The 23,070-nt window shown below is 38.1% G+C and overlaps 1 long non-coding RNA gene across 1 annotated transcript in view; it reads left to right on the top strand.

Moving 5' to 3' along the window:
* The first annotated feature begins 12,923 nt into the window (after positions 1–12,923).
* LOC105373303 (uncharacterized) overlaps positions 12,924–23,070 on the top strand; it is a 135,721-nt gene continuing 125,574 nt past the window's right edge. Inside the window, exon 1 of the long non-coding RNA XR_007068300.1 lies at positions 12,924–13,370. This is a non-coding gene — a long non-coding RNA (uncharacterized LOC105373303). The remainder of the gene's footprint in view (positions 13,371–23,070) is intronic.

Genomic DNA, 23,070 nt, shown 5'->3' with positions numbered 1-23,070 from the left:
AAAGCAGACAAAAAAAGCAGGGGTTGTAATCTTAGTCTCTAATAAAACAGACTTTAAACCAACAAAGATTAAAGGCAAAGAAGGGCATTACAAAATGGTAAAGGGATCAATGCAACAAGAAGGGCTAACTATCCTACATATATGCACCCAATACAGGAGCACACAGATTCATAAAGCAAGTGCTTAGAGACCTGCAAAGAGACTTAGACTCCCACACAATAAAAGTGGGAGACTTTCACACCCCACTGTCAATATTACACAGATTGACAAGGCAGAAAATTAACAAGGATATTCAGGACTCGAACTCAGCTCTGGACCAAGCAGACCTAATAGACATCTACAGAACTCTCCACCCCAAATCAATAGAATATACATTCTTCTCAGTATCACATCACATTTATTCTATAATTGACCACATAATTGGAAGTAAAACACTCCTCAGCAAATGCAAAAGAATGAAAATCATAACAAACAGTCTCTCAGACCACAGTGCAATCAAATTAGAACTCAGGATTAAGAAACTCACTCAAAACCTCACAACTACATGAAAACTGAACACCTGCTCCTGAATGACTACTGGATAAATAACTAAATTAAGGTAGAAATAAATAACAAATTTACAAGAAAAAAACAAACAACTCCATCAACAAGTGGACAAAGGATATGAACAGACACTTCTCAAAAGAAGACATTTATGCAGCCAAAAGACATGTGAAAAAATGCTCATCATCACTGGCCATCAGAGAAATGCAAATCAAAACCACAATGAGATACCATCTCACACCAGTTAGAATGGTGATCATTAAAAAGTCAGGAAACAACAGGTGCTGGAGAGGATGTGGAGAAATAGGAACAATTTTACACTGTTGGTGGGACTGTAAACTAGTTTAACCATTGTGGAAGTCAGTGTGGCGATTCCTCAGGGATCTAGAACTAGAAATACCATTTGACACAGCCATCCCATTACTAGGTATATACCCAAAGGATTATAAATCATGCTGCTATAAAGACACGTGCACACATATATTTATTGCGGCACTATTCACAATAGCAAAGACTTGCAACCAACCCAAATGTCCAACAATGATAGACTGGATTAAGAAAATGTGGCACATATACACCATGGAATACTATGCAGCCATAAAAAATGATGAGTTCATGTCCTTTGTAGGGACATGGATGAAGCTGGAAACCATTATTCTCAGCAAACTATCGCAAGGACAAAAAACCAAACACCGCATGTTCTCACTCGTAGGTGGGAATTGAACAATGAGAACACATGGACACAGGGAGGGGAATGTCACACACTGGGGTCTGTTGTGGGGTGGGGGGAGGGGAGAGGGATAGCATTGGGAGATATACCTAATGTTAAATGACGAGTTAATGGGTACAGCACACCAACATGGCACATGTATACATAAGTAACAAACCTGCACATTGTGCACATGTACCCTAAAACTTAAAGTATAAAAAAAATTGATGACCTAAATAAAAAATAAATAAATAATGAAAAAAAAGAAATAAATAAGTTCTTCAAAACCAATGAGAACAAAGAGACAACATACCAGAATCTCTTGGACACAGCTAAAGCAGTGTTTAAAGGGAAATTCATAGCACCAAATGCCCACAGGAGAAAGCGGGAAAGATCTAAAATCAACACCCTAACATATACATTTAAAGAACTAGAGAAGCAAGAGCAAACAAATTCAAAAGCTAGCAGAAGACAAGAAACACCTAAGATCAGAGCAGAACTGAAGGAGATAGAGACATGAAAAACCCTTCAAAAAATCCATGAATCCAGGAGATGTTTTGAAAAGATTAACAAAATAGATAGACTGCTAGCCAGACTAATAAAGAAGAAAAGAGAGAAAAATCAACTAGACACAATAAAAAATGATAAAGGGGATATCACCACTGATCCCACAGAAATAAAATTACCATCAGAGAGTACTATAAATACCTCTACACAAATAAACTAGAAAATCTAGAAGAAATGGATAAATTCCTGGACACATACAACCTCCCAAGACTAAACCAGGAAGAAGTCGAATCCCTGAATAGACCAATAACAAGTTCTGAAATGAGGCAGTAATTAATAGCCCAACAACGATAAAAAGCACAGGGCCAGACGGATTCAAAGCCAAATTCCACCAGAGGTACAAAGAGGAGCTGGTACCATCCCTTCTGAAACTATTCCAAACAACAGAATACGAGTGACTCCTCCCTCACTCATTTTATGAGGCCAGCATAATCCTGATAGAAAAACCTGGCAGAGGCACAACAACCACCAAAAAAAAAAAAAAAAAAAAAAAAAAAGAAGAAAGAAAGAAAAAAAAGAAAATTTTAGGCCAATATGCCTGATGAACATCGATGTGAAAATCCTCAATAAAATATTGGCAAATGGAATCCAGTAGCACATCAAAAAGCATATCCACCATGATCAAGTTGGCTTCATCCCTGGGATGCAAGGCAGGTTCAACATACAGAAATCAATAAACGTAATCCATCACAGAAACAGAACCAATGACAAAAACCACATGAGTATCTCAATAGATGCAGAATAGGCCTTCGATAAAATTCAACACCCCTTCACGTTAAAAACTCTCGATAAACTAGGTATTGACGGAACGTATCTCAAAATAATAAGAATTATTTATGACCTACCCATGGCCAATATCATACTGAATGGGCAAAGGCTGGAAGCATTCCCTTTGAAAACTGGCACAAGACAAGTATGCCCTCTCTCATCACTTGTATTCAACATAGTATTGGAAGTTCTGGCCAGGGAAATCAGGCAAGAGAAAGAAATGAGGGGTATTAAAATAGGAAGAGAGGAAGTCAAATTGTCTCTGTTTGTAGATGACATGATTGTATATTTAGAAAACCGCATTGTCTCAGCCCAAAATCTCCTTAAGCTGATAAGCAACTTCAGCAAAGTCTCATGATACAAAATCAATGTGCAAAAATCACAAGCATTCCTATACACCAATAATAGACAAACAGAGACAAATCATGAGTGAACTCCCATTCACAATTGCTACAAAGAGAATAAAATACCTAGGAATCCAACTTACAAGGGATGTGAAGGACCTCTTCAAGGAGAACTACAAACCACTGCTCAAGGAAATCAGAGAGGAAACAAACAAATGGAAAAACATTCCATGCTCATGGATAGGAAGAATCAATATCATGAAAATGGCCATACTGCCCAAAGTAATTTATGGATTCAATATTACCCCCATCAAGCTACCAATGACTTTCTTTGCAGAATTAGAAAAAAAAAACTACTTTAAATTTCATATGGAACGAAAAAGAGCCTGTAGAGCCAAGACAAACCTAAGCAAAAAGAACAAAGCTGTAGGCATCACGCTACCTGACTTGAAACTATACTACAAGGCTACAGTAACCAAAACAGCATGGTACTGGTACCAAAACAGATATATAGACCAATGGAACAGAACAGAGGCCTCAGAAATAATGCCACACATCTACAACCATCTGATATTTGACAAACCTGACACAAACAAGCCATTGGCAAAGGATTCCCTATTTAATAAATGGTGTTGGGAAAACCGGCTAGCCATATGCACAAAACTGAAACTGGACCCCTTCCTTATACCTTATACAAAAATTAACTCAAGATGGATTAAATACTTAAACATAAGACCTAAAACCATAAAAACTCTAGAAGAAAACCTAGGCAGTACCATTCAGGACATAGGCATGGGCAAAGACTTTATGACTAAAACACCAAAAGCAATGGCAACAAAAGCCAAAATTGACAAATGTGATCTAACTAAACTAAAGAGCTCCTACACAGCAAAAGTAACTATTATCAGAGTGAACAGGCAACCTACAGAGTGGGAGAAAAGTTTTGCAATCTATCAGTCTGACAAAGGGCTAATATCCAGAATCTACAAGGAACTTAAACAAATTTACAAGGAAAAAAAAATCAAAAAGTGGGCGAAGGATATGAACAGACACTTCTCATAAGAAGACATTTATGTGGCCAAGAAACATGAAAAAAATCTCATCACCACTGGTAAATAGGGAAATGCCAATCAAAACCACAATGAGATACCATCTCACGTCAGTTAGAATGGCAATCATTGAAAAGTCAGGAAACAAAAGATGCTGGAGAGGATGTGGAGAAATAGGAACGCTTTTACACTGTTGGTGGGAGTGTAAATTAGTTCAACCATTGTGGAAGACAGTGTGGCGATTCCTCAAGAATCTAGAACCAGAAATACCATTTGACACAGCAATCCCATTACTGGGTAGATACCCAAAGGATTATAAATCATTCTATTATAAAGACACATGCACACATATGTTTATTGCAGCACTACTCACAATAGCTAATACTTGGAACCAAACCAAATGTCCATCAATGATAGACTGGATAAAGAAAATGTGGCACATATACACCATGGAATACTATGCAGCCATCAAAAAGGATGAGTTTGTGTCCTTTGCAGGGACATGGATGAAGCTGGAAACCATCATTCTCAGCAAAATAACACAGGAACAGAAAGCCAAATACTGCATGTTCTCACTCATAACTGGGAGTTAAACAATGAGAACACAGGGACACAGGGAGGTGAACATCACACACTGGGGCCTGTTGGGGGTGGGGTTTAGGGGAAGGATAGCATTAGGAGAAATACCTAATGTAGATGACGGGTTGATGGGTGCAGCATACCACCATGGCACGTGTATACCTATGTAACAAACCTGCACGTTCTGCACATGTATCCCAGAACTTAAATTATAATAAATAAAAATGAGATATCCTATATATATTACCTTGCAACCTGCTTTTTTTTCATTTTCCAATTTTCATGGGCATCTTTCCTGATCAACATGCAAAGATCCAGCTCATTGTTTTAAATAACTACCTAATATTCTACAGGCTATATCCTATATCACTATTCATCCAATATATCAGACTTTCAAGTAGTTGCCAGGTTTTAGTTGTTTTATAAATAATACCTCAAAATTATTGTATAGACGTATTCTATGTACTGATGCTTTTATTATCTAGTACAGATTTCCAAAACTGCAATTTCTGGATCAAAAGATATGTGTGCATTTCAAATTTTAATAGCAATTACCAGATTGCTTTCTAAAATGTTTAGTAGGAAACACATTCCCAACAGCAATTTACAAGGATATTCACATATCCATACTTTTGCTCCAACAGATGTTGCCAGTCTTCTTTCTTTCTTCTTTCCTTCCTTCCTTTCTCCCTCCTCTCTTCTCTTTCCCCTTCTTTTCTCTTCCCACCTCCCCTCCCTCTCCCCCTCCCTCTTCTCTTCTTCCTCCTCTTCCTCCATTAATTGCAATGGGATTTCCATGCTGCTTGGTTCATGAATTATAAGCCTACTTGATTATGGCGAGTATTTTACAATGTATCAGTTTGGCTTGTTCTTCTGATTTTAAGGTAAAGCCAAATAGAAAAGTTATATGTTATTCAACTGCATGTGCTTAAATCATTTTGCATGATCTTGAATCGTTTTATCTTTTTCTTTCAATTGTGTGGGATTATAGGAGGAGGTGATGATGGTGGTAATAATTATTTAAATATAGCAATGTATTATTATACTACGGCCTGTCACTCATTTCATTTTATCTGACTGTAAGATTCTTGTTTCCACCTTATTCTTTGGTGTATAACTTAACCTCAGCCCTCTGGTAGACCGATGAGAAGACTTGCAATTAATACTGCCAATGTGCCAACTAAAATTAAAAGTAGCTATTTTTGCACCCCATCCAGCCAGACTAACATGATAATCATCATCCCTTACAAATTAAATTACCATTGTAGTAGTATGCTTTTATGGAGATCATTGTGAAGATTAGCAGCCTACTGAAAACATGGTCCTAATGCTAAATTTGGGCTAAAAGAAAGAACAGCAAATAGTGATGTTTTCTTGATTTCAGTGCAGAGCTTCTGGTCAGATGTATCGAAATAAAACCATCAGAACTGCCACCTAGGACTCTTTCATGGTCCATATTTCCCAGCATATGTCTCAAACCTAGAGATTATTTGTAATAGGTTTACTGAATGCTTAAAGCATGACAGGCACTGCGCTAATGTTTTACATTTATTATCTCATGAGGGTACTATTAACATCTCCACTTTTCTGGGAAAATTGAGGCTCACAGAAATTAAGTAATTTGCTCGAGGCAGAGTGAGGACTTGAACCAAATTCTGTGAAACTTCAAAGCTACTACAGTCTATGACAGAGGTCAGCAAACATTTTCTGTAAATGACCAGGTAGCACATATTTTTGGCTTTGTAAGTCACACAGTCTCTGTTGTAACTACCTCACTCTGCCATTGTAGCATAAAAGCAACCAGAGACAATATGTAAACAAATGAACACGGCTGTATTCCAATGAAACTTTATTTGCACTGAAATTTGGATTTTCATGTGTCATGAAATATTATTTTTATTTTGATTTTTTCAATCTTTATAAAATTTAAAAATCATTCTTAGCTGTGGGTCATACAAAAATAGGTGATGGGCCAGATTTGGCATTGTGGGGCCTTAGTTTGCCAATCTCTAATCTGTGCCATCTCAAAGGGTACAGAGCCTATCAGTCACATAATTGAAGGACTTAACCAACCACTCTACTTTCCCTTTAATAACTCAATATGGGTCAGTTATTCAGGTACACGTATGAGCCTTTTTTGGATCTATTTGTCTATTCAGTACCATATATGTATTGATTTTATCTGGTGAAAGTAATCCTTTTCTAAAGATCCATTCAAATATTTTAGCATTCACTGAACAAGCCTGTATTTATTAGATTCTTTTATTTTTTTTTTAACCTGGCTCTCCTTTGCTTCACATACAATGCCAAAGATTTGTCTACTTTGCCAACATTTGTTCTATAACATATTCATCCTCCAACAGCTTAGGGGCCTCTTCTACACAATAATTAATAACTCTCATAAAAATAACAAATATGCAACTTTTTAAATATTAAGAGTGATTGAAGGATTATACTATTTTCAATGATTTCAACAATGGACAACGTTACTAAAAAGCTCTTAGATATTGCAGTACATTCCAAGGCATGTCCTTTTTTTCTTTCCTGATCCCTTTAAACATTAGTGACAGGGGGATCCATGAGAGCAAAAGTGGTGCTCACCAGTGCTTACCACAGTGCCTGACATATAGTAGGTGCTTATCTGTTGAATGACTGAATCATTAGGACTCCTTGCTTAAGGGAGTAAATGTAAATGTGCACAACCATCAGAAATCATGGACCCTGATGATTTTGGTGAGTTACAATATAAGGTAATTAGTCTTTTCTTTTTTATTTTATTTTATTTTATTATTATTTTTTGTTATTATACTTTAAGTTTTAGGGTACATGTGCACATTGTGCAGGTTAGTTACATATGTATACATGTGCCATGCTGGTGCGCTGCACCCACTAACTCATCATCTAGCAATAGGTATATCTCCCAGTGCTATCCCTCCCCCCTCCCCACACCCCACAACAGTCCCCAGAGTGTGATGTTCCCCTTCCTGTGTCCATGTGTTCTCATTGTTCAATTCCCACCTATGAGTGAGAATATGCGGTGTTTGGTTTTTTGTTCTTGTGATAGTTTACTGAGAATGATGATTTCCAATTTCATCCATGTCCCTACAAAGGACATGAACTCATCATTTTTTATGGCTGCATAGTATTCCATGGTGTTTATGTGCCACATTTTCTTAATCCAGTCTATCATTGTTGGACATTTGGGTTGGTTCCAAGTCTTTGCTATTGTGAATAATGCCACAATAAACATACGTGTGCATGTGTCTTTATAGCAGCATGCTTTATAGTCCTTTGGGTATATACGCAGTAATGGGATGGCTGGGTCAAATGGTATTTCCAGTTCTAGATCCCTGAGGAATCACCACACTGACTTCCACAATGGTTGAACTAGTTTACAGTCCCACCAACAGTGTAAAAGTGTTCCTATTTCTCCACATCCTCTCCAGCACCTGTTGTTTCCTGACTTTTTAATGATTGCCATTCTAACTGGTGTGAGATGGTATCTCATTGTGGTTTTGATTTGCATTTCTCTGATGGCCAGTGATGATGAGCATTTTTTCATAAGTTTTTTGGCTGCATAAATGTCTTCTTTTGAGAAGTGTCTGTTCATGTCCTTCGCCCACTTTTTGATGGGATTGTTTGTTTCTTTCTTGTAAATTTGTTTGAGTTCATTGTAGATTCTGGATATTAGCCCTTTGTCAGATAAATAGGTTGCGAAAATTTTCTCCCATTTTGTAGGTTGCCTGTTCACTCTGATGGTAGTTTCTTTTGCTGTGCAGAAGCTCTTTAGTTGAATTAGATCCCATTTGTCAATTTTGGCTTTTGTTGCCATTGCTTTTGGTGTTTTGGACATGAAGTCCTTGCCCATGCCTATGTCCTGAATGGTAATGCCTAGGTTTTCTTCTAGGGTTTTTATGGTTTTAGGTCTAACGTTTAAGTCTTTAATCCATTTTGTATAAGGTGTAAGGAAGGGATCCAGTTTCAGCTTTCTACATATGGCTAGCCAGTTTTCCCAGCACCATTTATTAAATAGGGAATCCTTTCCCCATTGCTTGTTTTTCTCAGGTTTGTCAAAGATCAGATAGTTGTAGATATACGGCGTTATTTCTGAGGGCTGTGTTCTGTTCCATTGATCTATATCTCTGTTTTGGTACCAGTACTATGCTGTTTTGGTTACTGTAGTCTTGTAGTATAGTTTGAAGTCAGGTAGTGTGATGCCTCCAGCTTTGTTCTTTTGGCTTAGGATTGACTTGGCGATGCAGGCTCTTTTTTGGTTCCATTTGAACTTTAAAGTAGTTTTTTCCAATTATGTGAAGAAAGTCACTGGTAGCTTGATGGGGATGGCATTGAATCTGTAAATTACCTTGGGCAGTATGGCCATTTTCACGATATTGATTCTTCCTACCCATGAGCATGGAATGTTCTTCCATTTGTTTGTATCCTCTTTTATTTCCTTGAGCAGTGGTTTGTAGTTCTCCTTGAAGAGGTCCTTCACATCCCTTGTAAGTTGGATTCCTAGGTATTTTATTCTCTTTGAAGCAATTGTGAATGAGAGTTCACTCATGATTTGGCTCTCTGTTTGTCTGTTGTTGGTGTAGAAGAATGCTTGTCATTTTTGTACATTGATTTTGTATCCTGAGACTTTGCTGAAGTTGCTTATCAGCTTAAGGAGATTTTGGGCTGAGACAATGGGGTTTTCTAGATATACAATCATGTCGTCTGCAAACAGGGACAATTTGACTTCCTCTTTTCCTAATTGAATACCCTTTATTTCCTTCTCCTGCCTAATTGCCCTGGCCAGAACTTCCAACACTATGTTGAATAGGAGTGGTGAGAGAGGGCATCCCTGTCTTGTGCCAGTTTTCAAAGGGAATGCTTCCAGTTTTTGCCCATTCAGTATGATATTGGCTGTGGGTTTGTCATAGATAGCTCTTATTATTTTGAAATACGTCCCATCAATACCTAATTTATTGAGAGTTTTTAGCATGAAGGGTTGTTGAATTTTCTCAAAGGCTTTTTTCTGCATCTATTGAGATAATCATGTGGTTTTTGTCTTTGGCTCTGTTTATATGCTGGATTACATTTATTGATTTGCGTGTATTGAATCAGCCTTGCATCCCAAGGATGAAGCCCACTTGATCATGGTGGATAAGCTTTTTGATGTGCTGCTGGATTCGTTTTACCAGTATTTTATTGAGGATTTTGCATCAATGTTCATCAAGGACATTGGTCTAAAATTCTCTTTTTTGGTTGTGTCTCTGCCTGGCTTTGGTATCAGAATGATGCTGGCCTCATAAAATGAGTTAGGGAGGATTCCCTCTTTTTCTATTGATTGGAGTAGTTTCAGAAGGAATGGTACCAGCTCCTCCTTGTACCTCTGGTAGAATTTGGCTGTGAATTCATCTGGTCCTGGACTCTTTTCTGTTGGTAAGCTATTGATTATTGCCACAATTTCAGATCCTGTTATTGGTCTATTCAGAGATTCAACTTCTTCCTGGTTTAGTCTTGGGAGAGTGTATGTGTCAAGGAATTGATCCATTTCTTCTAGATTTTCTAGTTTATTTGTGTAGAGGTGTTTGTAGTATTCTCTGATGGTAGTTTGTATTTCTGTGGGATCGGTGGTGATATCCCCTTTATCATTTTTTATTGTGTGTATTTGATTCTTCTCTCTCTTTTTCTTTATTAGTCTTGCTAGCGGTCTATCAATTTTGTTGATCCTTTCAAAAAACCAGCTCCTGGATTCATTAATTTTTTGAAGGGGTTTTTTGTGTCTCTATTTCCTTCAGTTCTGCTCTGATTTTGTTATTTCTTCCCTTCTGCTAGCTTTTGAATGTGTTTGCTCTTGCTCCTCTAGTTCTTTTAATTGTGATGTTAGGGTGTCAATTTTGGATCTTTCCTGCTTTCTCTTGTGGGCATTTAGTGCTATAAATTTCCCTCTACACACTGCTTTGAATGTGTCCCAGAGATTCTGGTATGTTGTGTCTTTGTTCTCGTTGGTTTCAAAGAACATCTTTATTTCTGCCTTCATTTTGTTATGTACCCAGTAGTCATTCAGGAGCAGGTTGTTCAGTTTCCACGTAGTTGAGCGGTTTTGAGTGAGATTCTTAATCCTGAGTTCTAGTTTGATTGCACTGTGGTCTGAGAGATAGTTTGTTATAATTTCTCTTCTTTTACATTTGCTGAGGAGAGCTTTACTTCCAAGTATGTGGTCAATTTTGGAATAGGTGTGGTGTGGTGCTGAAAAAAATGTATATTCTGTTGATTTGGGGTGGAGAGTTCTGTAGATGTCTATTAGGTCTGCTTGGTGCAGAGCTGAGTTCAATTCCTGGGTATCCTTGTTGACTTTCTGTCTCGTTGATCTGTCTAATGTTGACAGTGGGGTGTTAAAGTCTCCCATTATTAATGTGTGGGAGTCTAAGTCTCTTTGTAGGTCACTCAGGACTTGCTTTATGAATCTTGGTGCTCCTGTATTGGGTGCATATATATTTAGGATAGTTAGCTCTTCTTGTTGAATTGATCCCTTTACCATCATGTAATGGCCTTCTTTGTCTCTTTTGATCTTTGTTGGTTTAAAGTCTGTTTTATCAGAGACTAGGATTGCAACCCCTGCCTTTTTTTGTTTTCCATTTGCTTGGTAGTACTTCCTCCATCCTTTTATTTTGAGCCTATGTGTGTCTCTGCACGTGAGATGGGTTTCCTGAATACAGCACACTGATGGGTCTTGACTCTTTATCCAACTTGCCAGTCTGTGTCTTTTAATTGGAGCATTTAGCCCATTTACATTTAAAGTTAATATTGTTGTGTGTGAATTTGATCCTGTCATTATGATGTTAGCTGGTTATTTCGCTCGTTAGTTGAGGCAGTTTCTTCCTAGTCTGGATGGTCTTTACATTTTGGCATGATTTTGCAGTGGCTGGTACCGGTCATTTCTTTCCATGTTTAGCGCTTCCTTCAGGAGCTCTTTTAGGGCAGGCCTGGTGGTGATAAAATCTCTCAGCATTTACTTGTCTGTAAAGGATTTTATTTCTCCTTCGCTTATGAAGCTTAGTTTGGCTGGATATGAAATTCTGGGTTGAAAATTCTTTTCTTTAAGAATGTTGAATATTGGCCCCCTCTCTCTTCTGGCTTGTAGGGTTTCTGCCGAGAGATCCGCTGTTAGTCTGATGGGCTTTCCTTTGAGGGTAACCCGACCTTTCTCTCTGGCTGCCCTTAACATTTTTTCCTTCATTTCAACTTTGGTGAATCTGACAATTATGTGTCTTGGAGTTGCTCTCCTCGAGGAGTATCTTTGTGGCGTTCTCTGTATTTCCTGAATCTGAATGTTGGCCTGCCTTGCTAGATTGGGGAAGTTCTCCTGGATAATATCCTGCAGAGTGTTTTCCAACTTGGTTCCATTCTCCCCGTCACTTTCAGGTACACCAATCAGACGTAGATTTGGTCTTTTCACATAGTCCCATATTTCTTGGAGGCTTTGCTCATTTCTTTTTATTCTTTTTTCTCTAAACTTCCCTTCTCACTTCATTTCTTTCATTTCATCTTCCATTGCTGATACCCTTTCTTCCAGTTGATCGCATTGGCTCCTGAGGCTTCTGCATTCTTCACGTAGTTCTCGAGCCTTGGTTTTCAGCTCCATCAGCTCCTTTAAGCACTTCTCTGTATTGGTTATTCTAGTTATACATTCTTCTAAATTTTTTTTAAAGTTTTCAACTTCTTTGCCTTTGGTTTGAATGTCCTCCCGTAGCTCAGAGTAATTTGATCGTCTGAAGCCTTCTTCTCTCAGCTCGTCAAAGTCATTCTCCATCCAGTTTTGTTCTGTTGCTGGTGAGGAACTGCGTTCCTTTGGAGGAGGAGAGGTGCTCTGCTTTTTAGAGTTTCCAGTTTTTCTGTTCTGTTTTTTCCCCATCTTTGTGGTTTTATCTACTTTTGGTCTTTGATGATGGTGATGTACAGATGGGTTTTCGGTGTGGATGTCCTTTCTGTTTGTTAGTTTTCCTTCTAACAGACAGGACCCTCAGCTGCAGGTCTGTTGGAATACCCTGCAGTGTGAGGTGTCAGTGTGCCCCTGCTGGGGGGTGCCTCCCAGTTAGGCTGCTCAGGGGTCAGGGGTCAGGGACCCACTTGAAGAGGCAGTCTGCCCGTTCTCAGATCTCCAGCTGCGTGCTGGGAGAACCACTGCTCTCTTCAAAGCTGTCAGACAGGGACATTTAAGTCTGCAGAGGTTACTGCTGTCTTTTTGTTTGTCTGTGCCCTGCCCCCAGAGGTGGAGCCTACAGAGGCAGGCAGGCCTCCTTGAGCTGTGGTGGGCTCCACCCAGTTCGAGCTTCCAGGCTGCTTTGTTTACCTAATCAAGCCTGGGCAATGGCGGGCGCCCCTCCCCAAGCCTGGCTGCCGCCTTGCAGTTTGATCTCAGACTGCTGTGCTAGCAATCAGCGAGACTCCGTGGGTGTAGGACCCTCTGAGCCAGGTGCAGGATATAATCTCGTGGTGCACCGTTTTTTAAGCCCGTCGGAAAAGCGCAGTATTCGGGTGGGAGTGATCCGATTTTCCAGGTGCCGCTCGTCACCCCTTTCTTTGACTCGGAAAGGGAACTCCCTGACCCCTTGTGCTTCACAAGTGAGGCAATGCCTCGCCCTGCTTTGGCTCACGCACGGTGCGCGCACCCACTGACCTGCGCCCACTGTCTGGCACTCCCTAGTGAGACGAACCCGGTACCTCAGATGGAAATGCAGAAATCACCCGTCTTCTGCGTCGCTCACGCTGGGAGCCGTAGACCGGAGCTGTTCCTATTCGGCCATCTTGGCTCTTCCCCCGGTAATTAGTCTTTTCAAAAGTATTTACAGATCACCAAAATACTATAAAATCATGGGTTTTCTAAAGGTTTGGATGAGAGAAAAACAGTGGATGTTTTCCAGATTTTTTTCTTTGTCAGAAGAATCTCTGGGAAGCCAGATAACTACTTAAGAATGGGACTGTCTCATCTTCCACACCTGCTGGTTGCTGATGGGATGAGCCGTCCTTCAAGCTAGTCTATACTTTAAGATCAGGAATTGAGCCAGAATTTCCCTTTGGCGAGGAAAATGGCAAAGCTATCTCTTAGTACCCGTGGGTTTGGCTTTTTAGAGTATATAGCATATACTATATATATATGCTCTATATAATCTAGCATCTGAATAAATGTGTGTGTGGTGGAGGGGGTGGTGGTTAATAAGATCAAAATTATGGGTGTAGTTTCCATGTGGTTCTTTTAGCTTTGTTGTGTTCCAGAATTGTAGGCTTCAGTACTAACCATCATCAACTCTGTGGTGTAAATATGCCTGTTATCATAAGATGGGCAAAAAGAGTGTATGTAAATAGTTCAATACAAACTTCTCAGTACTACCTTAAAATAAGTTCAAAGCCTATGTCTTTCTAGTCATGGTGGGTCCAAAGTGTCCGTCACCCTGGAAAATGTTTCCAAAGGTAAATACAAGTAATTGGGGAATCAGGGAAAGTTATTATTTCAGCATGCAAAATAAGGCCACTCTCTGCAATATGTCTAGGCACAGATGTACAAAGACAAATAGAAAAAGGTCACAGATGACATTTTATTTGCTGGGAAAGAAGTAGGATTCATTTATTCAAGGAATATATATGATATATGGAGCACCAATTATTCGCCAAATAAACAAAAAAAATAAGTATTTCTTTTGACAAGTGCCAGAAAAATTATAAAAAGGCTTTGAGAAAGAGAATAATAATAAAGGGGACTGCCCCTATATAAGGTAGCCATATAAAGTCACAATGAAAAGGGGACATTTATCTGAGAATACTGTCTGCTAATTGTACTTCAGTTTGCCAGATTCTAAACACAAATGTTTTATTTGGGTGGAGAGAAACTTCTCTAAATGACAATTTTTTGATTAAAGGAATAATCCTCCTTAGACATTAAAGAGCAGCTGGTTAAATGCAGAAGGGAAGGGAACTGGCATTTATTGAACGTTTTCTCTGAACCAGACCCTTTACACATATCATTTCATGTCATTTTATTCTATGTTATTATTTTTGTTTTGTGGATGGATAGACTGTGATTCAAGAAGGTTAAATAAGTTGCTCAAGGTAACATAAGAGACTGGGATTAAAAATTGAAGTTTTTGCCTCTGAAATCCATGTTCTTATCATTATACCATGATGCTACTCGTCAAGAATACTAATTGCTACCATTAGTGAGGAAATACTATACTAACAGCTTTGGGACCATTGTGTCACTTAATCTTCAATTAGTTACTAACCCACTTTATATATGAAGAAATTAAAGCCTAGGGAGCTTAAGCAACTTGCTCAAGTCACATGGCTTGTCAATTATGGATATCCACATTCAGCACGTGATGATTTTGAGGGGTTGATCTGATTTTCAAGTTTAAGAATTATGACTGGACCAGTCAGATGTTTACAAAGTGGTTCTGCCCTGAAGTCAGCTTGAAGGAAATACTAGTTATTCATCTGGATGATAATATTACTTCAGTCCACATCCAGCTTCTCTGGGACCAAAGAGAGGCAGTAAAATAAGGTCACCCCTCAAATGCAAGGCAAATGGAATAAGACATGGAATACTGCTTGCATTTCCCTTTTGCCAAAGAAAATGTCATGGAAGCCAGAGGTCACCTGAGCGTCTCATCAGGAGAGATATTTTAACCTACTGTGAGATGTAAAATGCTCACCTCTGATTTCCTTTTTTAAATGTAGCTTTCAATACATTCCTTCTTTTTTTAGATGTATATTTGAACACTTTCATCATGAGGACAGAAGTTTTGCAGTTCCATCCAGTTAACTGATTCTCATAAACCTGATTTGCCTAAGCAGCTAACAAATATCTGAGAAAAGAGGGAAGGGCTGGGCCTTAGCATGGCAGACATGTGTGGTTAAGGAGATATCTTAGGTTCTTTGTTGTTCTTCATGCATTCCTCCCTTCACCTAGACTGGAGGTGCTCCCCTCATCAAATATAATCTCCTCAATATCGTAGGGTCTTCTATGCATTTTTACCTCCTCAAGAACTACCCTGAGGAAAGGAACTGCTAAACTCATCAGAAAATGACTGATAAAGCTAAATATGATATGTTTGCTATCCATGGGTGTGATTAAATTTTAATAATACTAATAGCTAACATATAAAATTGACCCTTAAACACTAGTTTGAACTGCATGAGTTTATTTACATGCGGATTTGTTTCAGTAAAAATTATACCTACTGAGTCTGCCTCTCCTGCCTCCTCTTCCACCTCTTCCACCTCTTCCATCTCTGCAACCCCTGAGACAGCAAGACCAATCCCTCCTCTTCCTCCTCCCCCTCAGCCTACTCAATGTGATGATGAGGAGGAGGAAGACCTCTATGATGATCTACTTCCACCTAATGACTAGTTAATATATTTTCTCTTCACTGTGATTTCCTTAATAACATTTTCTTTGCTCTAGCTTACTGTATTGTAAGAATACTGTATATAATACCCCTGCATTGTTCAAAGGCCAATGATATAGTGAACTTAGTCTATTCCTGGCACTGTGCTACCTACATTATCTCATTTAATTTTGATAATCCAGTAAGGTGGTATTATTATTAGTATGCTACAATTAGAATATGGTTTGTCCCTACCAAAATTCATGTGGAGGATTGCTCCCCAATGTGGTGGTGGTGGGAAGTGGTGCCTTTAAGAGGTAATTAGCTCATTAGAATGGATTAATGTCTTTCTCTGGAGTCTGGATTAGTTTCTGAGAGAGCAAGTTGTTGTAAAGTGAGGTTTGGTCTCTTTGCACGTCTCCTTTCCCTTCTGCTTCTCTGCTATGCTTCTTGAACTTCCCAGCCTCCAGTGCTGTGAGCTAAACAAACCTATTTTCTTTATAAATTACCCAGTCTCAGATACTCTGTTATAGCAATACAAAATGTACTAAGATATAATATCACTCTCATTTTATAAATTTTTAGAAAAATTGGCCCAGAGACAGTCAGTAATTTTCCCCAAGGCCACCTAGTTGATTAGTGGTACAAATATGAGTGGAACACAAGTTTCACTGACTCCCAAGCCTGTATTCTTAACCAATTACTATAGTGCCATAAGACAAAAAAGATAAAGTAATAACTGGGAAATTTAAGTATCAGCAAGCTGGATGAGGGAGATTTTGTGGGGGTAATGGGCAAGTGGGAAGGAGACAGATGGTATCTTCATGATATCCCTGTAAAGACACCACAAATTAGACTGCGTATTCCACTCACTGTTCATAATGATAAAGAACAGCTTTTCCAAGCCCAATGTCTCTCAGTTTATATCATTACTGAATGCGTGTAAATATGATTTTTAAATACTATTCATGAATAATACTGGCTGGTTCAATTGCTAAATCTTCCCTTTTAGGAAAAAGGAGAACAATATTCTTCCCCAGACAATTACTAGCACATGTCTCATGATATTTAAATCTGCATACAACTTGATAATAACTTTTGATTTATTAGCACCATTTGCAAGTGAATAAATATTGCTCAGTGGTGTGGCAGAATCCAAAATTGTACTCAAGTCTACTTTTCTTGTTTTGTGGATTCTACTTGCTTAAGTAATTGGTTAAGAATGTATATATACCTTTTCCTCACCAGATTAGCCTCCATGCTCAAAGCCTGTCCCACAACATCATGACATTATTTCTCAAGTAACGCTGTTCATTGGAGGTTTTCTGATTACCTTTACAAACATACACTCACACAGTGCATTTCCCTTTGGGACAAATTTCAACAATATATATATTTTTTGCACAAGGTTGTCTAACAAACAATTTTTTTAAGGCTTATTGTACTAGGGTTTGGCTTCCTTGGATCTATGCCCTCAGCTTGGAATTCAATTTAAACTATGCAAATGAGGACCTCAACTATTGAACTTTTCTGTTTTGGGCTAAAATTCTTCAAATAGTATTTAAATATTTTAAATTTATAAATTCAAATTTAAAAATTAGGTAATATTATATAATTTTTTTGAGATGGAGTCTCACTCTATTGCCCAGGCTGGAGTGCAGTGGCATGATAGCAGCTCACTGCAACCTCCCGCCTCCCAGGTTCAAGCAATCCTCCTGCTTCAGCCTCCCGAGTAGCTGGGATTACAGGTGCCCACCACCACGCCTGGCTAATTTTTGTATTTTTAGTAGAGGCAGGCTTCCACCATGTTGGCCAGGCTGGTCTTGAACTCCTGACCTCAAGTGATCCGCTTGCCTCAGCCTCCCAAAGTGCTGGGATTACAGGCATGAGCCACCACATCTAGCCTAAATATTTTTAAAGTGTCTTCAAAGCAAACGATTTTGCCATAACAAGAAATCCCTCAAGCTCATTAAGACAAATACTACATTTTATTGATTTCTAAAGGATAAAAAGAACTTTCAGGTTCATTTAATGCAATTTCACTTTGACATATAGCTGTTTGTCTTCTGGTGTCCATGTTATGAACTTTCACTGACATTGAAGAGCCAAGTCTATTATTATATAATATATGTACTATATGGGATCAGGATAAACCAAGTTGCAGTGAAACTGCTCCCTAATCATATGTCTTTTGTTTTTCTCTAAAACATATAAATTGAATATATCACAATGGTGTCTAAACGTTTTCTGAAGACATTCTGATAGAAAAAAAAAAGTCACCCTATTAGTTTTTATTTACATCTTAAATTGAGAGCTTTTAACTTTTTTCATTTTTATTTGGCTGTTTGCATTTTGCCACCAATATCACTTTCTATATGAACTATTTGGTCACTTGGCTGTTAGCAGTGTGGTGACAGCAATTTTATGAGGAAATTATGGGTCGTGATAACCCCCATTGTATATGGATACCTACACATGGCTAGCTAGCTGGCCTTGGGAAGTGAAATAAGAGACTTAGGTTTGTCAATGAGAACATCCATTTAAGGATAAGCACATTTATGTAAATGGGTGCTATGTGTTTTCTACATTCTGGTTAATACCCTGGTCCTCTTGGGCAAAGAAGTTTCCCTTAATTTTCAAAGCCTGATTCATTCATTCTTGATTTAGTATCTTGGACTTCTTTGGAATAAATATTATCATTATTGTTTTGTATTTTTATCTAGAAACTCATGCCATATTTTTCTTTCAGTTACCTATGCCCAGTGATAGGGAGATCAGTACTTGAAAGGGTTTGGGTGAGTATAGGTTGAGAAGAGTCAAGTTGAAGGAGCAGTGCTTATATGTTTGATGGCATTCAGACTGGTCTCTGATCTTTAATCTGCCCACTCATAGTTCCTTACTTCTAGATACTCCTTCTGCTCTTTCTCTGCAGGTGCCAAAAAATGAGTTGTCAGGGACAGGAGGTGAAAAATCTGTGTTATTGGGAAAAATCTCTCTCTCTCTCTTTCTCTCTGTCTCTCTCACATCTCTCTTCTCTCTCAAACCCTGAATAATATTGAACCTGTAAGTTCTCACCTAGTGCAGTCCTTAAAATACTATTGTATTATTGTATTTATTTTGTTTTATAGTTTGTCAACTTTAAAATGGCCCTATTTCTCAGCAATGTATACATTCATAGCAGGAACATCACATGTATAGGCCTCTATAATGTGAACTGAAAGGTGTGGAATCCCTCCCTGACCCCAATTTTTCTCTAGTCGGCCTGGGCCAGTTTCTGAAATTCCCACCAACAGATTATCTTTAAATCCTTTGGATTAAGTCTTTTTTGAAATCTTTTGCTAAAATATACCTGGGGGTTAATAAACCATCCTGAGACTTTAATTCTCTAGCTTAACTGAATTTATCAGATTATATCTCATAGAAAACAGGCCACTTAAAGGAATGGAGCATAGGATAAGGAAATTTTTAACAGTAAAAACTGGAGGAGTAAAATATATTGAATATTTCTGGGGTTTGGGGAGCAAACTGGAAACCCAGGTTGGATAATTCTAATAATTTTGTCAATTCATTCTAATTCAAATCACACCCAAATAGGCTAATTCTGTTTGTCTGGAAAAATATTGCATTAAAAATTGCCCATCTCAATGGCTTCTACATTATTGATGTTGCTGTTCTTACTTGACATTTTTTTCCTCTATTCTCATTTTGAAAACCATGTTGGGGGTCTTTACTGCTAGATTTTTTCTCCCTCTTCTCAAAAAACTCAGTTGGATTCTCACCTGAAGGCCATTTAAATCTCCCCAAATGGTTTCTAATTTTGTATAGGAAGATGAGGTTGGAATTTGTTTATGGATAGGTTAAGGCACTCAGATAGAAACTGAGAAAACTTATTTTACTCTGTTTTAGAAAGCTACCTTTTGGACATTTTAAAAAGCATTCATGGACTAATAGTGATTCTTAATTTTTTCTTTTCGTCTCAAACAAAAGAAATTTGATCTGTCTGCTAGTCTCTTAATTCACTGAAGTGAAAAGCTATAGGAGAGCTTAACTACCTCTGTTCAAAGGTTAACATTTTCCCCCTAATCAATAGACTTTACAATAATGAGGCTTACATTGTAGTTTCCAATTTCTCACCTTTCAGGTCATGGCAGTCTCCTTCCAAAGCTTCTTGGGTGGCACTTTTAATGACGGTTGATAAATGAGAGTAAGTGGTCAAAAAGGGGAAGAAGCAAGTTGAAAAACAGAGTGCTAACTGGGAGGGGTACTTTTTACAAGAAATAGAATGTAATATAATGGAAAGAGAAAAGGACATGGACATTCTAGAAATAACTAACTTCTAAAGGATTTTCTATTTAGCTTTGAGTTTATTGTTGGTAATTATATCACTTGACTCATGGGTTATTGTGGGAATTAAAAGAGAATGTATTTAAAAGCATTTTGTAATAAAGAATCACATAAAATTTTTTTTCCTTGAGTCTTTACTGCTCACTCTTTTTTTATTTTATTTTATTATTATACTTTAAGCTCTAGAGTACACGTGCACAACGTGCAGATTTGTTACATAGGTATACATGTGTCATGTTGGTTTGCTGCACCCATTAACTCGTCATTTACATTACGTATTTCTCCTAATGCTATCCCTCCCCCAGCCCCCCACCCCATGACAGGCCCCGGTGTATGATGTTCCCCACCCTGTGACCAAGTGTTCTCATTGTTCAATTCCCACCTATGAGTGGGAACATGCAGTGTTTGGTTTTCTGTCCTTGTGATAGTTTGCTGAGAATGATGGTTTCCACCTTCATCCATGTCCCTGCAAAGGACATGAACTCATCTTTTTTATGGCTGCATAGTATTCCATGGTATATATGTATCACATTTTCTTAATCCAGTCTATCATTGATGGACACTTGGGTTGGTTCCAAATCTTTGCTATTGAGAATCACACAAATATTATTCTAAAAGTAAGTCTTTCAGTCTCCTTCCTCTGTCTCTGTCTCTCTCTTTCTCAAGAGGCTAGAGAAAAACTTCATGGTTCTTTCTTTTTGGCTGAGAATTTCTCAGTGTGAGCATTGGTTCTGTAGTCAGGCTGTCTTGGATTTGAATCTGAATTCTGTCACTTTATAGCTGTGTATTATCACTGAACCAGAGATTTAATGTCTGTGGGCCTTAGTTTCTTCTCCCATAAAACAAAGATAATATCTGCCTAACAGGAGTATTAAGAGAATTAAATAAGATGATATATGAAAAGCCATGCACAGTGCTTGAAACATAGTAGGTACTTAATACAGCGTACACTGGTCCCATTATAGGTGACTATTAAAAGCACAAAGAAAACTTTGTCTAAGTAGAACATCTACTTTGTCCTACTTATCAAATCCCATCTTTTCAAAATGGCAAGTTCTCCTAATTACCTTTGTCTGGAATTTATGTTTTGGTTATAATGATGACTACAAAGGCAAGTAAATTTACACTGGAATCTGCAGCGTTGTTAAGTCTTCCTTGTGAGTCACTTGTGAACTGCACACTTGTTGGAAGAAGCTGACTTTGACAGTTCTTTGGTTAAGATTATAGGAACTACGGTGCACCCCTATGGAAAGCTTCCAAATAAATGCATTGGAACTTCTGATAACCTTTTCTCGACATGCTGACATTTCTGTTGGCTTTGAATAGCTCTTGATATTTTAATGCATTTAGGCAGAGTTGATAGGCCATTTCCTAGCAAAGTGGGACTTAGCTACAACAAAGCTTGGGGCTTTCCATATGTGGGCCTTAAAATATTAATTATCTTTCAAGGTTTAGTTTTAAAATGCTTGACAGGCACATAAATTTGCTGATATTACCTCACCTGTAATTATAATTCAGAAGTGAGGTTTTCATGTCTTAGTTATATTGTTTTCCAAGTACCCTGTATATACTCAAGATTTCTTGTCTTTTAGAACCCTCACCTATGCTCTGCCAGAATTAAGGAGCTGTCAAAATTCTACTAAAAACATAGTCTTATTACTAATGTGGGGCAAAGAGTAAAGAACATGTCATAGAAGTTATAGGCAAAGCTAAGACTTCTTACATTGTAGCCCAATTATAAACATTTTTCTGTGATGCTTATAAACGTTAGAAATTTATATGTCAATCCAGCTTTCAAAGATAAATTTGAGGGCTTCTGCAAACAACTAAGTGGAGATGGGAAACTTAACATGCAGGAGTATATAGGCAGATTGATTAGGGGGCTTTAAAATTTTTCCCCTTTAAAATGTCCCAAGGAATTTCCAGAGACCTTTATTCTCTAAAAAGGATCCTGTCAGGTTTAACCAGAACTGAGGAATCATTTAGGCCCCAGACCATGCTCACTGGGTACAACAATGGACACATTTTAGGTTGAATGGACTTGATATGGGGGTAAAAGTAACATGAGTGAGGTTTTTTTCATTTTTCCTTCCTTCTGTCACTAGATGTGATGTGTTCCCTACTGTCATAGGAGGGTCATGCAGAGGAAAAAAAAGAATGGGAGGAAGATAAGGCAAAGGAAAGGTAGATAAAATAAGTCAGAGAATGGAGAAAATATCAAGATAGAACTATGCAGGGTGTCACAATGGGATCTGGGAGGCAAAAGGAAATGAAAGTTTGAACCAGGAACCTTAAGAGACCAGAGTGGTTTGAAGCATCTAGGTGGCAAGGGGTTAGTTAGTTTAGAAAAGGATCTGGGAATTTGATCTCATTAGAGAACTATAATTTCACTTTCTTTGTGAAAACCAATTTTAAGTACTAGTTTTTGCTATTTGGTTACAAAGATGACTCTAACATTTTACAGGACAAGACTCATGTACCGAAATCATTTTTCTCTTTTCCCAGATGCCCACTCTGCTGAGTCTTTTAGGGCAGCTGTTTAGTTAATCAAGGTCATAGGTATTTCATCGATAGACATTTATTTCCTTCTCATTGCATTTGTCTGTGCAAATTGTCAATGTGTCAGTTTAAATATCCTGATCAGCTTATAGAGAATAAACCCCGTTCCACCCCAAGGCAATTGGGATGCATACTATCACTGTACATTTGGGAATAAAAAAGTAAGTCACGTATGCTACTCTCAAATTTACAATCCATCTGATATTCTACCAGTCAATTAGCAGCTTGTAGAATCT

The sequence above is a fragment of the Homo sapiens genome, chromosome X (assembly GCF_000001405.40).
Source record: "Homo sapiens chromosome X, GRCh38.p14 Primary Assembly".
Classification (NCBI taxonomy): domain Eukaryota; kingdom Metazoa; phylum Chordata; class Mammalia; order Primates; family Hominidae; genus Homo; species Homo sapiens.
This window is presented reverse-complemented; position numbering and strand designations above follow the sequence as displayed.